Source organism: Homo sapiens, chromosome 2 (genome assembly GCF_000001405.40).
Source record: "Homo sapiens chromosome 2, GRCh38.p14 Primary Assembly".
Taxonomy (NCBI): Eukaryota; Metazoa; Chordata; class Mammalia; order Primates; family Hominidae; genus Homo; species Homo sapiens.
Genome location: NC_000002.12, coordinates 61,832,184 through 61,852,954, shown reverse-complemented (window position 1 = coordinate 61,852,954; position 20,771 = coordinate 61,832,184). Strand labels below are relative to the sequence as shown.

Below are 20,771 nucleotides of genomic sequence, written 5' to 3'. Positions count from 1 at the left end.
AAAAAAAAAAAAAAAAGATGGGAATCTTGAATTTAAACTAGCAATCTGCAGATAGAAAAAATTTCCTAATACCATGTGTCCAAAGCTTCTCAGACACCAAACTTATGATTGAGGACTAACTGAAATCACTGGATATTTTGGAATTCTGATCTCTTTAATCTACAGTAAAATTGTTAATGAGAACATCTTTAGCAACACCTTTTGTGACCAATCTTTCACCAACAGACAAACAACTTGAAGTTATCCAGAGTAAGGCAGACTGAGACCCTGAACATGAACCAGGATCAGAGTGCTAGGACCGATTTTGTTCATGATGAAGCTACCCCTCAACACAATTTTCAGTAGGCAACAAGGCAACGTGATGGAGAAAAAGGATTGAAGAGTTCTGTATTAGGATCCATTCCCTGCCACTTCCTAGGTGGTGTTAGGACATAATTTCCTTAAACCTCAGTTTCCTTATCTGTAAAATAACTATAATAATTGTCTCTTTTTTCCCATCTCAGCTCTATGAGAACCAAATGAAAGAATGTGTGTCTCCTCTAAAGAGCAATCTATGTAAATGAGTTGCCAGTGGGAGTGTCATTTGTGTGCCTTCCCAAAGATTAAACTCAACTTTGGCTTGCTGTGGTAAAGGAGTCAGTCACTTCTAAGTTGCAGATATGCTTCCACAGTGCCCTGTTAAACTGCAAATTTGTGTTAGAAACTGTTATTACCTTAGGAGGGATCAGTTTATACAATAATCTAGTTTGGAAAGGACAGGATCCTACAAAAAAAAAAAGGAAGCCAAGTCTTAAGAGTTTGGTACTGTTCTGAGACCACCACACATGAGGGATCCAAAAGTAAAGCTGGGTAAGCTGCCACAGTGGGCCTGATAGCCAGGGGGCACAGGCTGGGGGAAGAGGCATTAAGAAGGCAGGAAGAGTGCAGGAAATAGGCTCTGCTTTCTTCACTGGTTGGCTTGGGTCTCCATCTTGATTTTTAAAGGTTAATTTGCCTTAACCTTATTATCTATAAAATGTAGTAAAGTCAAATATTATACCTAACCCACAAGATTGATTTGAGAACCACCCATCACAATAGGCCTCTTTCAGCTCTTTGGTTTTGCCAAAGCCAGACCACTCATCCCACCCCACACTGCCCCCCAACCCCCCAACCCCTGCACCATCCCTATACACCCTCCCAGCTCTGGCATACACACGCACCCCCCTTGCAGTGCCCATATTGGGCACTGATGCCTGTTCCTTGAATCTAGCCTTAGTCAGAGATGTTGGTCCACATATCCTGTTATATGACTGATGATGACACAGGTAACGCAGTATTCTGTAATTCGCAATTAAAATCTCACTCCTCCCAGCACTTTGGGAGGCTGAGGCAGGTAGATCACTTGAGGTCAGGAGTTTGAGGCCAGCCTGGCCAACATGGCAAAACCCGGTCTCTACTAAAAATACAAAAAGTAGCCGGACGTGGTGGCACGCGCCTGTAATCCCAGCTACTAGGGGGCGCTGAGGCAGAATTGCCTGAACCCGGGAGGCGGAGGTTGCAGTGAGCTGAGATGCAAAAACTGCACTCCAGCCTGGGCAACAGAGTGAGACTATGTCTCAAAAAAATAAATAAATAAAAAGAAAAAATAAAATCTCACTCCTAATGGGGCAACCTTATCTTTTCAACAAATATTGAACATTTATTAAGTGCTAGTCATTAACTATTCAGTGTATATATAGCTCACATCCTCACAGAATTTTCAGTCTGGTGAGGGAAATCAGACAATTAAAAATGAACAGGGCCGGGCGCGGTGGCTCACATCTGTAATCCCATCACTTTGGGAGGCTGAGGTGGGTGGATCACCTGAGGTTGGGAGTTCAAGACCAGCGTGACCAACATAGAGAAACCCCATCTCTACTAAAAATACAAAATTAGCCGGGCGTGGTGGCACATGCCTGTAATCTCAGCTACTCAGGAGGCTGAGGCAGGAGGATCGCTTGAACCCGAGAGGTGGAGGTTGCAGTGAGCCGAGATCACGCCATTGTATTCCAGCCTGGACAACAAGAGCGAAACTCCATCTCAAAAAACAAAAAATGAACAGACACATAACTATAAGATGGGAAATGTTGGGAAAGAAATGAACAGCCTATAATGATTAAAAATAAATAGGAGAGAACCTATTGTTTTTCTTCTGACTCCACTTTTTATTTATTATTTTTTGAGACAGAGTTTCACTCTCTTGTCCAGGCTGGAATGCACTGGTGCAGTCACAGGTCACTGCAGTCTCAACCTCCCAGGATCAATCAATCTCCTCACCTCAGCCTCCCAAGTAGCTGGAACTAAAGGTGCATGCCACCACGCCCAGCTAATTTTTATATTTTTTGTAGAGACAGAGTTTCACCATGTTCCCCAGGCTGGTCTCGAACTCCTGGGCTCAAGTGATCCACCTGCCTTGGCCTCCCAAAAGTGCTGGGATTATAGGCGTGAGCCACTGTGCCTGGCTCCACTGTCGATATACATACATACATACACATATACACACATACACACGAACGCACACACACATATATTTTTTTGAGATGGAGTTTTACTCTTGTTGCCCAGGCTGGAGTGCAGTGGCGTGATCTTGGCTCACCACAACCTCCACCTCCCAGGTTCAAGCGATTCTCCTGCCTCAGCCTCCCAAGTAGCTGGGATTACAGGCGTGTGCCACCACGCCCGGCTAATTTTGTATTTTTAGTAGAGACGGGGTTTCTCCATGTTGGTCAGGCTGGTCTCCAACTCCTGACCTCAGGTGATCCGCCCGCCTCAGCCTCCCAAAGTACTGGGATTACAGGCATGAGCTACCATGCCTGGCCTATATTTTTAAATTCACCTGTTATTTTAGATACAGAGGTGCATGTGCAGGTTTGTTACATGGGTATATTGCATCCAGGTAGTGAGCATGGTACCCAATAGATAGTTTTTCAACCTACGCCGCCCTCCCTCCCTCCCTCCCTCCCCACCTGGTGGTAGCCCGCAGTGTCTGTGGTTTCCATGTTTATGTTCGTGTGTACTCATTATTTTACCTGCCACTTATGAGAACATGTGATATTTGGTTTTCTGTTAATTTGTTTAAGATTATGTCCTACAGCTCCATCCACGTGGCTGTGAAGGACATGATTTCATTCTCTTTTTTTTTTTTTTTTTGTGATGGAGTCTCGCTCTGTCACCAGGCTAGAGTACAGTGGCACAATCTCGGCTCAATGAGACCTGTGCCTCCTGGGTTCAAGTGATTCTCCTGCCTCAGCCTCCTGAGTAGCTAGGACTACAGGTGCACACCACCACACCTAGCTAATTTTTGTATTTTTAGTAGAGACGGGGTTTTACCATGTTGGCCAGGATGATCTTGAACTCCTGACCTCAAGTGATTCGCCAGCCTTGACCTCCCAAAGTGCTGTGATTACAGGCCTGAGCCACCATCCTGGCCTAATTTTTTTATTTTTATTTTTATTTTGTAAAATAAAGGTCTCACTATGTTGCCCAGGGTGGTCTCAAACTCCTGGGCTCAAGCAATTCGCCCTCCTCGGCCTCCCATAGTGCTCGGGTTAGAAGTATATGCCACCATACCAGGTGACATTCTTCTCTTAAAATATCAAATGTTACATATGACGCTTAGGCCCTTTTAACAACTCTCCCCCAGAAGAGAAAATATGAATACCTACTCCCTCCCTAATGGTAGCCACTGTTTCAAAATTGATATGTATTCTATTCTCTGGCCGTTTTTCTATCTCCTCCATATATTTTAATATACAGTACATACTATATAAATATATAAATAAATATATAAATATATATAAGTATATAAATATTTAAATATATATATAAATATATATATTTAAATATATATATAAATATATATATTTATATATATATAAATATATATAAATATATAAATATATATATAAATATATATAAATATATAAATATATATATAAATATATATAAATATATAAATATATATATATATAAATATATATATAAATATATATAAATATATATATATAAATATATATAAATATATAAATATATATATAAATATATATAAATATATATATAAATATATATATAAATATATATATAAATATATATATAAATATATATAGATATATATATATAAATATATATATAGACAGAGAGAGGGAGATAGTTCTGCAACTTGCTTTTTTTTCTTATTTATTGGGAGTTTACCCATGTTAGTACATGTAGATCTCTCTCATTCTTTACAAATTCAGCGAAAAAAATTTTTTCAAAAATTACAGGTTGCAGATGAAACTATATAGGCTGCAGCACAAATAATTCTTCATAGGTGCTGATTACTAATAAAGCAACAGGTACTGGAAGGATTCATTATCTAAATGGGTCAAGCCAATCTAGGGAAGATTATCCTCTAATCTGGTGGCTGCATTTACAACATTCCACAAAAAGCCGATTAAAGGGAGAGGATGCTATTTTAGGCTCTTGGAAAAATAATGTCTATGGCCTAGGTTATTTTGTATACTAAATATTTTCTCAGTGGAGACAATTAAAGATTAAATTAGAATTGGAGGTCATTTACTAGCCATTCATCTGTTTTAGGTTAAACACTGTGAGATCAGTTTATCTGAAAAGTTTCAGCTAGCGTTAACAGTATTAAGCTGAAAACAGAATGGATCCAGTGCAAAATCAGTACATAAGTATAATTTATCAGACCTGCCGCATCTTTCAGAAGCTACTCATTCTTCTATATGGTTTTCAAACGGTTCTTCCAGGTCCAAATAAATTTGATCCTTCTTGTGTAAATGACTGCTATAAGACATGATTTTTAAGAGATATTCTAAAAGAATGAATGAGAGCGCATAGATTCTTTTGCTTAAAAACAGTTCTTTGAAATACCCTCCCTGTTTTAATTATAGTTTTTGGAACATAGGCCTTTTTCTTAATACTTGGTGGAATATAGCTCTTTAGAGCAGCCAGCATTTCTTTGCATGGTTCATTCTTTTGGGAGGGAGTAACTGCCCTCTTCCCAAGGTGGAATTTTTTTTTTCTGTACATTCATTCATTCATTCAGTAAATATTCCTTGAACATCTGCCATTAGCCAGGTACTTTTCTAGACACTGGGGACACAACATTAAACAAAGCAGACAAATCCTTGCCTTTCTTTTTGTTTTGTTTTGTTTTTTTGAGACAGGGTCACACTGTTACCCAGGCTGGAGTGCAGTGCCTCCATCATAGCTCACTGCAGCCCCAACCTCCTGGGCTCAGGTGATCCTTCCGCCTCAGTCCCCCAACTAGCTGGGACTATAGGTGCATACTACCTCACCAAGCTAATTTTTTGTATTTTTTGTAGAGATGAGGCCTTGACGTGTTACCCAGGCTGGTCTGAAACTCCTGGGCTCAAGCAATCCACCTGCCCCAGCCTCCCAAAGTGCTGGGATTACAGGCCTGAGCCATCAGGCCTGGCAAATTCTTACCTTTGTAATGTTTACTTTTTGGTAGGGGCAGGCATATAATACACAATCAAGTACAGATATGTAGGACGTCAATGGTGATGAGTACTTCTGGGAAAAATAAGACAGACAAGGGGGCTGACAGTGAGTCCTGGGAGAAGTTGTAATTTTAAATAGGAGAGTCAGGGAAGACCTTATTGAGAAGACAACATTTACATAAAGACCTGAAGGAGTGAGCAAGTGGGTCATGTGGATATCTGGAGGAAAAGGCATCCTAGGGAGAGGGAACAGCAAGTGCAAAGGCCTTGAAGTAATTCTGTGGATTTTTGTTTCTTTTTTTTTGAGATGGAGCCTCACTCTGTCACCCAGGCTAGAGTGCAGTGGTGCGATCTTGGTTCACTGCAACCTCTGCCTCCTGGATTCAAGCGATTCTCCTGCCTCAGCCTCCCGAGTAGCTGGGATTATAGGCATGCACCACCACACCCGACTAAGTTTTGTTTTTAGTAGAGATGGGGTTTCACCATGTTGGCCAGATTGGTCTCGGATTCCTGACCTCAAGTGACCCAAAGTGCTGGGATTACAGGCATGAACCACTGTGCCTGGCCAATTCTGTTGATTTTTCGAGTGAAAACTGCATACTGGATTCAGACACTGCTACTAAAACGAACTGCTGCTGCCCAGATGAATAACCGTTGCTAGACTGACACAAGCCGACAGGAAGCAGTCAGAGGGCTAACAGAAAGGAGTAAGTCCCATCTTTCTCCTCTAGCCTTGTATCTCCCTCTAACTCCACTTTTAGCAGAGTCTGATGAGGAGCACTGGCAAAGCAGAAGTGTGGTTTGCAGAGTTCCAGCTCTGGCATTGCAAAGCAGAGTCGAGAAGGGTGGCATTGGAGCTGAGAGACACTAGTTTAACACCTGGCACACCTACTTTACATATCTTAAAGCTGATGTTCAAGAAGTTCATGCCCACATCACATTGCTAAGTGCGGAGCCCAGGCTTGTATGAGTATCCTGACGTCACATCTGAAATCTTTCTCCTAAGCTGTGAGAACACTCCAAACTAAAAGTTATTTAACTCCCACCCAACCCTTTCATCTTTGAAGGGTCATAAGGGGGCTGAAACCACGTGACCAGTAATCAGGAGCCAGTGGTAGGCAGGAGATGGAAACCCCTTCTTGCTTGCCCTAACCTCCCTTTCTAGGTTTACTTCCCAAAACTGCTTTATGGGTTTTCCTCTCCTTTTATCCGGCAGCCATGTGCACCTTGCCCTCTGCTATGCACAGCCTCCCCAACCCCAGCCTGCGCATTTGCTAACGCCATTTCCTTTGCCTAGGGTACTTTCCCCTTCTTTCCCATAAACACTCTGTGATCCTATAGATTTCTCCATTCTTTTTTTTTTTTTTTTTTTTTTTTGAGACAGAGTCTTGCTTGATCGCCGAAGCTATAGTGCAATGGCTCGATCTCAGCTTACTGCAATCTCTGCCTCCCAGGTTCAAGCGATTCTCCTGCCTCTGTCCCCTGAGTAGCTGGGACTACAGGTACACGCCACCATGCCTGGCTAATTTTTGTATTTTTAGTAGAGAAGGGGTTTCACCATGTTGGCCAGGCTGGTCTTGAACTACTGAGCTCAGGTGATCCACCCACCTCAGCCTCCCAAAGTGCTGGGATTACAGGCGTGAGCTACCGCGCCCAGCCTTCTTTTTTCTTGATACAAGGTCTCACTCTGTCGCCCAGGCTCAAGTGCAGTGGCGCGCTCACGGCTCACTGCAGCCTCAACCTCCTGGGCTCAAGTGATCCTCCCACCTCAGCCACCACATCCAGCTAATTTTTTAAAAAAAATTTGTAGAGATGGTGTCTCGCCGTGTTGCCCAGGCTGGTCTGGAACTCCTGGCCTCAAGCAGTCCTCCCACTGCAGCCTCCCAAAGTGCTGGGATTACAGGCATGAGCTACCACACCTGGCCTCCATTCTTTATGACTCATCTCAAATATTACCTCCTCCAGGAAGTCTTCCCCTATCTTCCAAACTCAAACGAAACAAAAGCTCCCTCCATTTCCTGTCTACCACTGGCTCCTGGTCACTGGTCACCTGGTTTCAGCCCCCTTTTGACCCTATAAAGGTGAAAGCATTGGGTGAGAGTTAAATAACTTTTAGTTTGGAGTGTTCTCATGGTTTAGGAGAAAAATTACAGATGTGGTGTCAGAATACTCAATCAGAGGCTCCAAAGACCCGTATCAGTTGGTCTTTGTATCTCTCATGCCACTCTCTACCTCCTATTAGTCCTCCTTCCGCTGCTTATTTAAATGTTGGTGTTCTCCAACATCTCCATTCTCAGGTCCTCTCATGTCTTGTTGCTCACACTCCCTCCAGGCAGCCTCGTCCATAACCAAGGCTGCACCTGCTACTTCTGTGTGGATTGGTGGCTCCTGTATCTGCTCTCCAGCCCAGCCTTCTCACCAGGTCTCCAGACATTTATCCACATGTTTCCTGGCGATGGATGTTCTAGCACTATGCCTCGGATTTATTTATTCCTTTTTCACTGCCTCCCTGATCTGGCAAACTTTGTCCTCGTCCAACCATGTGTCTCCAGTCTGGCTCACCTCTGTGAATTGTGCCTCTGTCTCTTAGTGTCTGACATTGTGACATACATCTGTCTCTCCGCTTAGCTGGAAGTAGCTTGTGGGCAGGAATCAGGTGTTCTGTCTCATTCTAAGTCAGCTGTCTATTATTTATATACATGTCCTTTCCTAAGCTAGCTGGAAACTTCTCAAAGGTAGAGTTTTTGTTTGTTTGTTTGTTTTAAGTGAGACAGAGTCTTGCTTTGTCACCCAAGCTGGAGTGCTGTGGTACGATCTTGGCTGACTGCAACCTCCACCTCCTGGGTTCAGGTGACTCTTCCGCTTCAGCCTCCCGAGTAGCTGGGACTACAGGTACCTGCCACCATGCCTGGCTAATTTTTGTATTTTTAGTAGAGAGGGGGTTTCACCATGTTGGCCAGGCTGGTCTCAAACTCCTGACCTCAAGTGATCTGGCTGCCTCGGCCTCCCAAAGTGCTGGGATTATAGGTGTGAGCCACTGTGCCTGGCCTCAAAGGTAGAGTTTAAAAAAAATCTGACGTACATTTTAGCAGCTAGCTGATTGCAGGATGGCCCCCAAATATTTAATGAATGAGGAAATTCACAAAGTAGTCATCCTGCAGATAAGAAGTTTATGGTGAGAAGCACATAAAGAAACAGCAGAAGATATCAGAGAATTCTCTTAATTGAATTGTTTGACATAGTTAAAGCAGTTCTCTGATTCATAGAGTTGTTGGTAGCAAATTTCTGCACGTAAGTTCTATTGAAGACTGCTTTTTTTTTTGGAGACAGAGTCTCGCTCTGTCGCCTAGGCTGGAGTGCAGTGGCCTGATCTCAGCTCACTGCAAGCTCTGCCTCCCAGGTTCACGCCATTCTCCTGCTGCAGCCTCCCGAGTAGCTGGGAATATAGGTGCCCGCCAGCACACCTGGCTAATTTTTTGTATTTTTAGTAGAGATGGGGTTTTGCCATGTTAGCCAGGATTGTCTCAATCTCCTGACCTCGTGATCCACCTGCCTCGGCCTCCCAAAGTGCTGGGATTATAGGCGTGAGCCACCGTGCCCGGCCTCTGAAGACTGATTTTTTAAAAGTTGTTTTCTTTAAGTTACCCCAAGTAGTACAACATTGTCCTCTTGTATGCTGATTTTAGCGTATTAAAAAAAATACCATATCTTCTGAGAAGCCTCCAGTGGGAAACAAAAATACCACATCTATAACTACTATTTATAATTGACTCTTCTGAATTTTTATTTTGAGAGAAGCTAAACAGATTATTTTCTAGAGTCTTATCAGATTGGATCTATAATTTTCTGTAGCAAATTTTTTCATTTTGCATCTGTTCCAGACAGTAGGCTAAATTTAAAACTGTGGTTGGCAGCCTTTTATGCATAGTATCATAAATAATTTCAACTGTTTCTCAACTGAGAACATAATAAAAATTTTATATTTATGGAGAAAATGGGGTTTTATCTCTTTAGTTGCTTCAATTAAAAGAACTGAAAGGGTAGGGCACGGTGGCTCATGCCCATAATCCCAGCACTTTGAGAGGCCGAGGCGAGTAGATCACCTGAGGTCAAGAATTCAAGACCAGTCTGGCCAACATGGTGAAACCCCGTCTCTACTAAAATACAAAAATTAGCTGGGTGTGGTGGTGTGCGCCTGTAATCCCAGCTACTTGGGAGTCTGAGGCAGGAGAAGGCAGAGGTTGCAGTGAGCTGAGATGGTGCCACTGCACTCCAGCCTGAGTGACAGAGTGAGACTCCGTCTCGTAAAAACAAACAAACAAACAAAAAAACTGAAAGGTATGTAAAGGGAGTGAGGGAGAAAGGCCAGTCAGACCCTTCTAAACATGATCTGTATGTTGAATAATTACAGCATTTTTTCTTCTTTGCTTTGTTGTCATCCTAAAGTCCCGGTCACCCATGGGAGCTACTGCTTTTGTGCCCACAGAAGCAGCTACCCTGAAAGTCCCTCCTACCCCCTCCCATGTCCTCTTACTCCCTCCCAAAGTCTTGCCCCACTGTGAGGAGGGCTTCTCCCTGGCTCCTTGATAAGCCACTGAGAACTTTGTCCCTGCCCCCATTTCCTCTATTTCCCTGCCTTCTCTCCACTGGCAGTCCTTGGAGCCACACTGCAGGAGCGCAGCTGGAGGGAGAGCATTGGGCTGTGGTTGCCTGGTTTACAGCAGGTAGAACCGTGTTCCTCTTCATCTCAGTTAAAACTTACAACTCAGGAGGCTCCTTATAGAAATACTTTGTAAAGGGTTGTTGGGTTCTATCCTATTATACCTTTTGTTGGTTGATCTGGGAATTGAACCATCCTTTATCAAATGGATTAAATAACATTTATTTTCTGACAGTTTGGTCTTGCTCCCTCTCGTTCTTAAAATATCACTGGGGAAAATGTACATAGCCCACAAATAACCTATAACTCATTCTATATGCATAGCCCATAATTAATGTATAACCTAACTAGGTGGACTCTTTAAGAAGCAGCATTTTGGATCAGTGTCAGCTTAATTTGTCTTTCAGCTCCAGTCACTATATATCAAGTGTTTTCTCCCCACCAGGCTGATTTGAACACCAGCTTTTCTGGGGTGGATGAACATGCACCGATAAGCTATGAGGACTTTGTGAACTTTCCTGATATTCACCACTCTAATGAGGAGTATTTCAAGAAAGTAGAAGAGTTGAAGGCTGCCCACATAGAAACTATGGCAAAATTAGAGAAAATGTACCAGGATAAATTACATTTAAAGGAAGTTCAGCCAGTGGTCATCAGAGAAGACTCTCTTAGTGACTCTTCCAGGTAAGCTTGTAACTCAATGTTATTTGTGGAGTATAAAATAAAATGTATCCTTAAAAGGACAGAACAAAGTTACTTCATAATATTTTCTCTTAAATAGCCCTTTGTACTCCCAACGATATACAGAGGTAGGATTTTATTCAAAATGTTTAATGGCTTATCAGCTTACTGGATGACCGTTTGCTTGAGGGTCATTTGGTGGCCATTTGGTCTTTTCTTTCTGACCCACCCATAGAACTGAGGGCATGTATCAAAATACTTAGTCTGTGCCATTTTAACTGGTAAATATAAAAGTTTAATTTTAAAAGCTCTTTATAATATGTGGATTAACATGAGCTCATTAAAGATCTAGTACAAAGAGTTCAGGACTAGGAGACATGAATCTGATTTATGTTTTCAAAATAGTCTGCAATTTCAAGACCCATTTCTGCTGTGAACTCACCTGCTCTGAGACTTACACATCTAGTCAGTCAGCGATGCTTGCATGTCTCCTTTGTGCCAGACTATGCCTGGGCGCTGAGGAGTCAAAAACAAGATGCCCTCAAGGAGCTTAGAGACTAGCTGAGAACCAAAAATTGCATTACAGCATGATGTAACAGAGTGTTACAGAGGAAGAAGCAGTTGGTCATGCCAAGCTTTCAGAGGGATGCAGGCCAGAATTTTCCACTAAAGTGTCACATCTGAGTTCAGTCTTGGAGGAGGAATAAGTATTGGCCTTCTAGGCAGCAGAAACCATGTATGCAAAGGCAAGATGGCATGAGAAATCATATCGTGTGTGAGGAACTTCACAGGACTGGATATGAATGCAGAATGGAGACTGGGGTAGCCAGTGGTGAGGGGTAAGACTGAAAAGATAGGCGCCAGTCTCGAAGGGCTTGTAATCTAGGCTTGACTTCGTAGCAGTGAGGAATTATCAAAAAGTTTCAAGCAGGGGAATGACATGATCAGATCTATGCTTCAGGACAGTGACTCTGGAAAGTGGGGAGAATTTAATAGAGGTTAGACACAAGGACCCTCTGCCATCTCAGGTTCCTTCCCTGTAAAATGAAGGAGTCAAAGTGGATAATTTATGGGCATTGCCCAGCTCTATTCCAAATAAAAGTGATGATTCTTACAAGCCCTGTCCAGCTCCTCGCTTCTGATTATACCCTGATCTTAGAAAATATGTAACTCTTGGCTGGGCACAGTGGCTCATGCCTGTAATCTCAGCACTTTGGGAGGCGGAGGCAGGCAGATCACGAGGTCAGGAGATTGAGACCATCCTGGGTAACTTGGTAAAACCCTGTCTCTACTAAAAATGCAGAAAATTAGCTGAGCATGGTGGCACAAGCCTGTAGTCCCAGCTACTCGGGAGGCTGAGACAGGAGAATTGCTTGAACCTGGGAGGTGGAGGTTGCAGTGAGCCGATATCACACCACTGCACTCCAACCTGGGCAACAGAGTGAGACTCTGTCTCAGAAAAAAAAAGAAAATATGTAACTCTTAATTTTTATATTTGGTCACATACAACTGAAAGTATAACATAGTTATTCTTCTCATTTAGATCTGTATCAGAAAAGAACTCCTATCACCCTGTCTCATTAATGACATCATTTTCAGAGCCTGATTTAGGCCAGTCTTCCTCCTTGTATGTGTCCTCCTCTGAAGAGGAGTTACCCAACCTAGAAAAAGAGTATCCTAGGAAAAACAGAATGATGACCTATGCTAAGGAGCTCATCAACAATATGTGGACAGACTTTTGTGTTGAGGATTATATTCGCTGTAAAGATACTGGCTTCCATGCAGCTGAAAAAAGAAGGAAGAAACGAAAAGAATGGGTGCCCACAATTACAGTACCGGAGCCTTTTCAAATGATGATAAGAGAACAGAAGAAAAAAGAAGAGTCCATGAAATCTAAATCAGATATCGAAATGGTACATAAAGCGCTCAAAAAACAAGAAGAGGATCCAGAGTATAAGAAGAAATTCCGAGCCAATCCAGTTCCTGCATCTGTCTTTCTCCCCCTTTACCATGATTTAGTCAAGCAAAAAGAAGAACGGAGAAGGTCTCTGAAGGAGAAAAGCAAAGAAGCTCTTTTGGCCTCACAAAAGCCATTTAAATTTATAGCAAGGGAGGAACAGAAGCGAGCAGCCCGGGAAAAGCAGCTGAGAGACTTTCTTAAGTATAAAAAGAAAACAAATCGATTTAAAGCCAGACCCATTCCTCGATCTACTTATGGTTCAACTACCAATGACAAGTTAAAAGAAGAAGAGCTCTATCGAAACCTTAGGACACAGCTGAGAGCCCAGGAGCATTTACAGAACTCATCTCCTCTGCCTTGTAGGTCAGCTTGTGGATGCAGGAACCCCAGGTGTCCTGAACAGGCTGTAAAGTTGAAGTGTAAACACAAGGTTAGGTGCCCAACTCCTGATTTTGAGGACCTTCCTGAGAGATACCAGAAACACCTCTCAGAACACAAGTCTCCAAAACTCTTAACAGTGTGTAAACCATTTGATCTTCATGCATCTCCACATGCATCTATTAAAAGAGAAAAAATTTTGGCAGACATCGAAGCAGATGAAGAAAATTTAAAAGAAACACGTTGGCCTTATTTGTCTCCAAGGCGTAAGTCACCAGTAAGATGTGCAGGTGTAAACCCTGTGCCTTGTAACTGCAACCCTCCCGTGCCCACGGTATCTTCCAGAGGACGAGAACAAGCCGTAAGGTAAGTAAGTAGGACGCAGTACTGACTGACTCATGGTTGCCAGATGAGTGTATGCAGCTCTGTGGAGTTTATGTTGGTAAATTTGAAAATACTTAGAAATTATTATTGTATCTATAAGATATTTTACTATATAATATATGATATTTTGTCAGAGGGTATTCTAAGAAATGAATATATTTTTCATTTATAAATTTTGGGGGATTAGAAAATAATAGTCTTAAGATTTCTAGTTTTACCTGGCTGGGCACAGTGGCTTACACCTGTAATCCCAGTGCTTTGGGAGGTCGAGGCAGGTGGATCACAAGGTCAGGAGTTCAAGACCACCCTGGCCGAGATAATGAAACCCCCATCTCTACTAAAAATACAAAAAATTAGCTGGGCGTGGTGGCGGGTGCCTGTAATCCCAGCTACTCAGGAGGCTGAGGCAGGAGAATCGCTTGAATCCAGGAGGCAGAGGTTGCAGTGAGCCGAGATCACGCCATGGCACTCCAGCCTGGGCGACAGAGCGAGACTCCATCTCAAAAAAAATAAATAAATAAATAAATAAATAAATAAATAAATAAATATTTCTAGTTTTACAGGTCAGATCCTTTTCAAAAGGTTACCTTTTTTCAAATTTTGAATTATCAAAATTCAAATTATCCCATGTTAAATCTTTGCTAAACAACATTCTGATTGGCTTAAAGTGGATTAAGCCTTAGTTTGTTACCCTCAGGAGATCACTTGAGGAAAAGAAAATGTTGGAAGAAGAGAGAAATCGGATCCTAACTAAACAGAAGCAAAGAATGAAAGAATTGCAGAAACTCCTGACAACCCGGGCTAAGGCTTATGACTCACATCAAAGTTTAGCTCAAATATCTAAATCCAGAGTAAAATGTCTCAGGTATCATGAAAAAATCTTGAATCTCCAGACCACTGGTTTTCAAACTCTTTTTTTTTTAATCAGTAGATAGTAAAATATGAGCAGATTGAAAATAGCATTAGTGTTTTAGCTTATGGATTTAAATTGTCATCAGTTACTTGTGTTCAGTGCACACACACTCACCTCATGGTGAGAACCAACATATAAACTCACCTTTATGGTGAGAACCATGAAGCTATGTTGATGAATACAGACATTTTCTATTGTGGCCTTAGTTAATGGTTATAATCTTATACCAATATCTGATCTTGTTCTTTATATTATTTTTGATTGCAGTAAACAGATATATCAAAGAGCTTTGTTCTAAGGTTTGGATGAAATCTGATAGCACAAATTAACACGTTAAACATCGGTTATGTGATGTGTTCATTAGCACATATGTTAATGTTTAGTAGTATGTGTTGCATTTTGTTAGTTTCAATATAAAAATATTCACGGAATTCTTAGAACCCCTTCACTAGAATTTTGCAGTACAAAGTTTGAAAACCAGTGTTCCAGATGTTGCACATAAAAATGTTGATGTTTAAGTAGGAAACTATCTCCCTCAAAGCCAGGTAAGTAATGTGATTTATTACTTTTTAATCTGATTTCTAAATATGCATATGTGCTTTTAATTACAATGAGTATTCTTTTATAATTTAGCTTTAATCCATTGATAAAGGGAGCTTAATTTGATGAACGTGAGCATAATGTTTCTTAGAAATAGATTACTTACCCTTAGGAAGTAAACTATTAATAGCTTTTTATTTTTTATTTATTTATTTTTTTGAGACAGAGTCTCGCTCTGTCACCTAGGCTGGATCCCGAGTTCAAGCGATTCTCCTGCCTCAGCTTACAGAGTAGCTGGGATTACAGGTGCTCACCACCACGCCTAGCTAATTTTTGTATTTTTGGTAGAGATGAGGTTTTGCCATGTTGGCCAAGCTGGTCTCAAACTCCTGACCTCAGGTGATCTGCCTACCTTGGCCTCCCAAAGTGCTGGGATTACAGGCGTGAGCCACCGTGCCTGGACAATAGCTTTTTCATAACACCAACTTGTGTATAATTAAGCCTAATTATCATTTAAAAGTATAATTATTTTCCCCAATCCATTAATCTTATTTATCTTGGTAGCAATTATATCTTACATAGAGAAAATAGTGTAGTTTAATTTATTATAGGATCTTGCTCAAACAGTGAGAACACTTACGGTAAATTTATATATTTTGGTTCCTGTTTCTCTTTATGTTGTATTCCCATGCTCTTTACTTCTCCTTTGACTTGCTCCCATTGAATTAACTTTGCCACTAACCTGTAGGAGATCTTATTTAGGGGAAAAAAATAACAGCAAAGGCTGGATGCCATGGCTCACATCTGTAATCCCAACACCTCAGGAGTACAAGGCAGGAAGATTGCTTGAGCCCAGGAGTTTGAGACCAGCCTGGTAAACATAATGAGACCCCCATCTCTACAAAAAATTTAAAAAAATTAGCCAGGTGTGGTGGCATGCCCCTGTAGTTCCACCTACTCGAGAGCTAAGGTGGGAGGATCATTTGAGCCCAGGAAGTCAAAGCTGCAGTCAGCCATGATTGCACCACTGCACTCCAGCCTGGACAACAAAGTGAGAACCTGTCTCAAAATTAATAGGCCAGGCGCAATGGCTCATGCCTGTAATCCCAGCACTTTGAGAGGCCAAGACAGGCAGATCACCTGAGGTCAGGAGTTCAAGACCAGCCTGGCCAACATGGTGAAACCCTCATCTCTACTAAAAATACAGAAAATTAGCCAGGCATGGTGGTGCACACCTGTAATCTCAGCTATTCGGGAAGCTGAGGCACGAGAATTGCATGAACCCAGGAGGTAGAAGTTGCAGTGAGCTGAGATTGTGCCACCGCACCAGCCTGAGCAACAGAATGAGACTCCATCTCAAAACAAAAGTAAATAACAACAACAATAAAATAATAATAAAAAATAAGAGCAAAGTCTTGTTTTCAGGAGAAATTCCTTACAGAGAAGATAGCTAATTTGTTCCAAAATTTTCTTGGTTTTATACACTTATAAATGAGACAAGAGGACTTTCATTCATCTTTTCAGGGCAGTTTGAAGTCCCTTAAAATATTTATGCCTTGAGGATTTCAGAAATTAAAGTGTCCAGACTATTCCTAGAGCATAATATGTGTGATCTCAGAACCTAGGATTTTATTCTGCATTCCATGAGAATTAACCGGTATAGAAGAGGAATCGAGGTAAACTGTGAACTGTGCTTATAATTTCTGATTTGTCAGCTAAGCTAAATGTTATTTCTTTTTTTTCATTGACTTTGTACAAGTTGATAAGTTAAATGTTACATATGTAAGTTCTTATTTCTTAGATGATCTTTTAAAATTCCATTGCTTTTCTTTAATTTTAGAAAGAGCGAAAAGGAAAGGATGAGAGAATACCAACGAGAACTAGAAGAAAGAGAAGAAAAATTAAAAAAGAGGCCACTGCTATTTGAAAGAGTTGCTCAGGTTGTGTTTATTGGAATTTAAGAGCTATCGTCAGTTTTTTTTTTTTTTTTTACAGCTTTAGCTCCTAAATTTACAGTCCATTTTTCTTATGTGTTATATAACTGTTGAGATACATTATTGTTGTTTGTGTTGGCTTCATCATATCAGCCAATGAGTAATTTTGCTTAAATCCGAGCATTTAGCCAGGTGTGGTGGTGTGCACCTGTAGTCCCAGCTACTTGGGAGGCTGAGGTGGGCAGATTGCTTGAGCCCAAGAGTTTTGGTCCAACCTGTGCAACGTAGCAAGACCTCATCTCAAAAAAATAATCTGAACATTGAATCTTTTTGATGAAGCACATAAGTTTGATAAATAACATGCCAATCCAGTAGTTCGTAAAATAATTTTGCAAGCTGTTTTCTAATGGCTGGTCTTTTTTCAGTACAAACTTGGTTAGATATTAAGATGAGGCTTCATGATATCACTTGGAGGTCTTTGAAGAATTAAAAAAATGAAACAAAATGGCTAATTGAATCAGAGTTATTTCTGCTAGTTTTTTTTTTTAAGTGAGTCTGTAATTCAATCTTCTCTGCAATTACTAAAAGAACTTCCTTTCTATACGAAAAACAAACTAGTCTTACGGACAGTGGACCCTGATTTTACTAAGTTTATGCCCGGTTTTACAACCTTTCCCTTAAGGGAAATTTGTCAATTTTAGGTCATCTTCTCCTTTGTCCCATAGGGGAGGCATCTGTATGGGTGACATGGCTTAACAATTGACAAAATCACTGGAGGTTACAGGTTCTAAATTGTGAATTTGAAGCTGTTATAATTGGACAATAGACAGTTGGAGAATTTACCTGTAACAGATGAGCATAGTTACAGAACTGTACTTGCCAGTGACTCATTGAGGACAGTGGACATGTATTGTGGGTGAATCTGCACATTACAGTCTCTCAAAGTTACGTAATCTTTTTGCTCACTGATCTAGATATAATTTTATATAATGCCTTTCATTTTAAGTGATGGATTTTTTTAACATCTTTATTTCAACTTTAGGGGGAAAAATCATTTTAAGCTGTTCTACATTATAATCATAAAGTGATTGGCTTTTGGCTCAAAGACATTATCTCCAGCTCTGAACTGCAAGTTTTTTGTTTTTGCTCTTTACACTGCTTCTGGGTTTTTCTTATTTATTTATTTATTTATTTTTTCAACTTTTATTTTAAATTCAAGGAGTATATGCGCAGGTTTGTTACAAGGGTATGCCAGGCGCCGTGGCTCACACCTGTAATCCCAGCCAGCATTTTGGGAGGCCGAAGCAGGTGGATCACCTAAGGTCAGTGGTTCGAGACCAGCCTGGCCAACATGGTGAAACCTTGTCTCTACTAAAAATACAAAAATTAGCCGGGCATGGTTTTGCGTGCCTGTAGTCCCAACTACTTGGGAGGCTGAGGCAGGAGAATTGCTTGAACTTGGGAGGCGGAGGTTGTAGTGAGCTGAGATTGCGTCATTGCACTCCAGCCTGAGCAACAAGACCAAAATTCTATCTCAAAAAAAAAAAAAAGGGTATATTGTGTGAGCTGGGGTTTGGGGTATGATTGAACTCATCACCCAGGTAATGAGCATAGTACCCAATAGGTAGGTTTTCAACCCTTGCCCTCCTCCCTCCACTCTCCCTCTTATATTCTCCAGTGTCTGTTGTTCTCATCTTTATTTCCATGTGTACCCAGTGTTTAGTTCCCACTTGTAAGTGAGAACATATGATGTTTGGTTTTCCGTTTCTGCTTTAGTTTGCTTAGGATAATGGCTTCCAGCTGTATCCATATTGTTGCAAAGGACATGATTTCATTCTTTTTTATGGCTGTGTAGTATTCCATGGTGTATGTGTAACATATTTTCTGTATCCAATCCACTGCTGATGGGCTGGGTTGTTACCATGTCTTTGCTGTTGTGAATAGCATCAGCACTTGTTATTGTCTGTCTGATTTTTTTAGAAAAATATTTTTAGAGACAGGGTTTCACTCTGTTGCCCAGGCCAGTGCAGTAGTACAATCATAGCTCACTGGAACCTTGAACTCCTGGGCTCAGATGATCCCCAGTATGAGCATCCCAAGTAGCTGAGACAAAGGCCCACACCATCATGCCCAGCTAATTTTATTTTTTGTAGAGACTGGGTCTCGCTGTATGGCCCAGGCTGGTCGTGAACTCCTGGCCTCAAGTGATCCTCCCACCTCCACCTCCCAAGTTGATGGGATTACAGGCATGAGCCACTGCACCTAGCTTTTGTCTGTCTTTTTGTTATAGTCTTCCTAGTGGGTACAAAGTGGTATTTTATTATTCAGTAACATTCTTTCAACTGTTCTTTTATCTTTTTCATTACAGACTCTATCTACTAGCTTATTGATATGGTAGGTGAGGATTTAGCTGTTTTAACACGTCCTCTCGGAAGCACACTTACCTACCCTTTCAACGTCTTTCCATCTTTCTGTTTCCCAGTCAGCTCTATCACAGTTAGATCGGAATTCAGTGTTATAACTTAGTAAACAATGTTAGCAGCTGAGCCCTATATTATTATCATCACATTTCCTTTTTTTTTTTTTTTTTGAGACAGAGTCTCACTCTGTCACCCAGGCTGGAGTACAGTGTCACAATCTCAGCTCACTGCAACCTCTGCCTCCTGGGTTCAAGCCATTCTCCTGCCTCAGCCTCCTGAGTAGCTGGGATTACAGGTGCGCGCCACCGTGCCTAGCTAATTTTTTTGTATTTTTTAGTAGAGACGAGGTTTCACCATGTTGGTCAGGCTGGTCTCGAACTCCTGACCTGATGATCCGTCTGCATTGGCCTCCCAAAGTGCTGGGATTACAGGCGTGAACCACCATGCCTGGCCCATCACATTTCCTTTAAAAAAATTTTTTCTTGTGTTAATAATTACTAATTTTGTTTGGTCCTCCCCCCACCTTCCCTCATTCCCCACCAATGTATGTATCATTATTATTCTTAGGCTTTTCTGTTAGCTCTCAAAAATCCCCCTCAAACAGTTAAACACATTCGTAATTCATCAGTTCCTTTCCTCCCCTGGAGCCCACAAGTGTCCTGCTCCACTTTGGAATGGTTTCTCTCTAGGCCAGCAGTCCTCAACCTTTTTGGCGCTAGAGACTGGTTTTATGGAAGACCATTTTTCCACAGACCAGGGTTGCGTGGGGTGGGGTGGATGGATCGGGAAATGGATCATTTCAGGATGAAACTGTTCCACCTCACATCATCAGGCGTTAGATTCTCATAAGGAGCATGCAACCTAGATCCCTGGCATGAGCACTTCACGATAGGGGTCACCCTCCTATGAAAATCTAACGCTGTAGGAGGCAGGGCTCAGGCCATAATGCTCGCCCTCCCACTGCTCACTTCCTGCTGTGCAGCCTGGTTCCTAACAGGCCACAGACCCGTACCTAGTTCGTGGTAGGGACCCCTGCTCTAGGCCTCTGGCATAAACGACATCTTAGGACTTTTTCACTGTTATACTGGGGAGTAGTTAGATATTAACCTGGATTTATCTACATTTCTTGTATTTCTTTTAAAATCACTGTTATTTTATTCTAGTTCTGGAAGATTTCCTCAAATTTATCTTCCAAATCTGCATTTTTTGCTTACCTAATGAAAAATGACATAATTTCCAGAATGCTTCCCATTTATTAAATATTCCTTTGGTATTTTTCATGGGTGCAGTACGTTTTTTTTTGTTGTTGTTGGTTTTTTGTTGTTGTTGTTGTTGGTTTTTTTTTGTGTGTGTGTGACAGGGTCTTACTCTGTCCCAGGCTGGAGTGCAGTGGCATGATCTCGGCTCACTGC

General features: G+C 41.5%; 1 protein-coding gene across 7 annotated transcripts in view; it reads left to right on the top strand.

The window, feature by feature from the left end:
• Positions 1 to 20,771, top strand: part of FAM161A (FAM161 centrosomal protein A) — a 53,821-nt gene that overhangs the window by 1,106 nt on the left and 31,944 nt on the right. For 3 of the 7 annotated variants that reach the window (XR_001738972.3, XR_007082540.1, NM_001201543.2), the window contains exons 2-5: positions 10,595 to 10,833; positions 12,374 to 13,534; positions 14,250 to 14,417; positions 16,846 to 16,945. Coding sequence is in view for 3 of the 7 variants with exons in the window: in NM_001201543.2 (NP_001188472.1) it covers positions 10,595 to 10,833; positions 12,374 to 13,534; positions 14,250 to 14,417; positions 16,846 to 16,945 (1,668 nt within the window). In the remaining 4 variants the exon portion in view is untranslated. Of the gene's footprint in view, positions 1 to 10,594; positions 10,834 to 12,373; positions 13,535 to 14,249; positions 15,011 to 16,845; positions 16,946 to 20,771 lie in introns of those variants that run through there. The other 4 variants (XM_047445962.1, NM_032180.3, XR_001738975.3 and 1 more) reach the window with 3 other exon arrangements.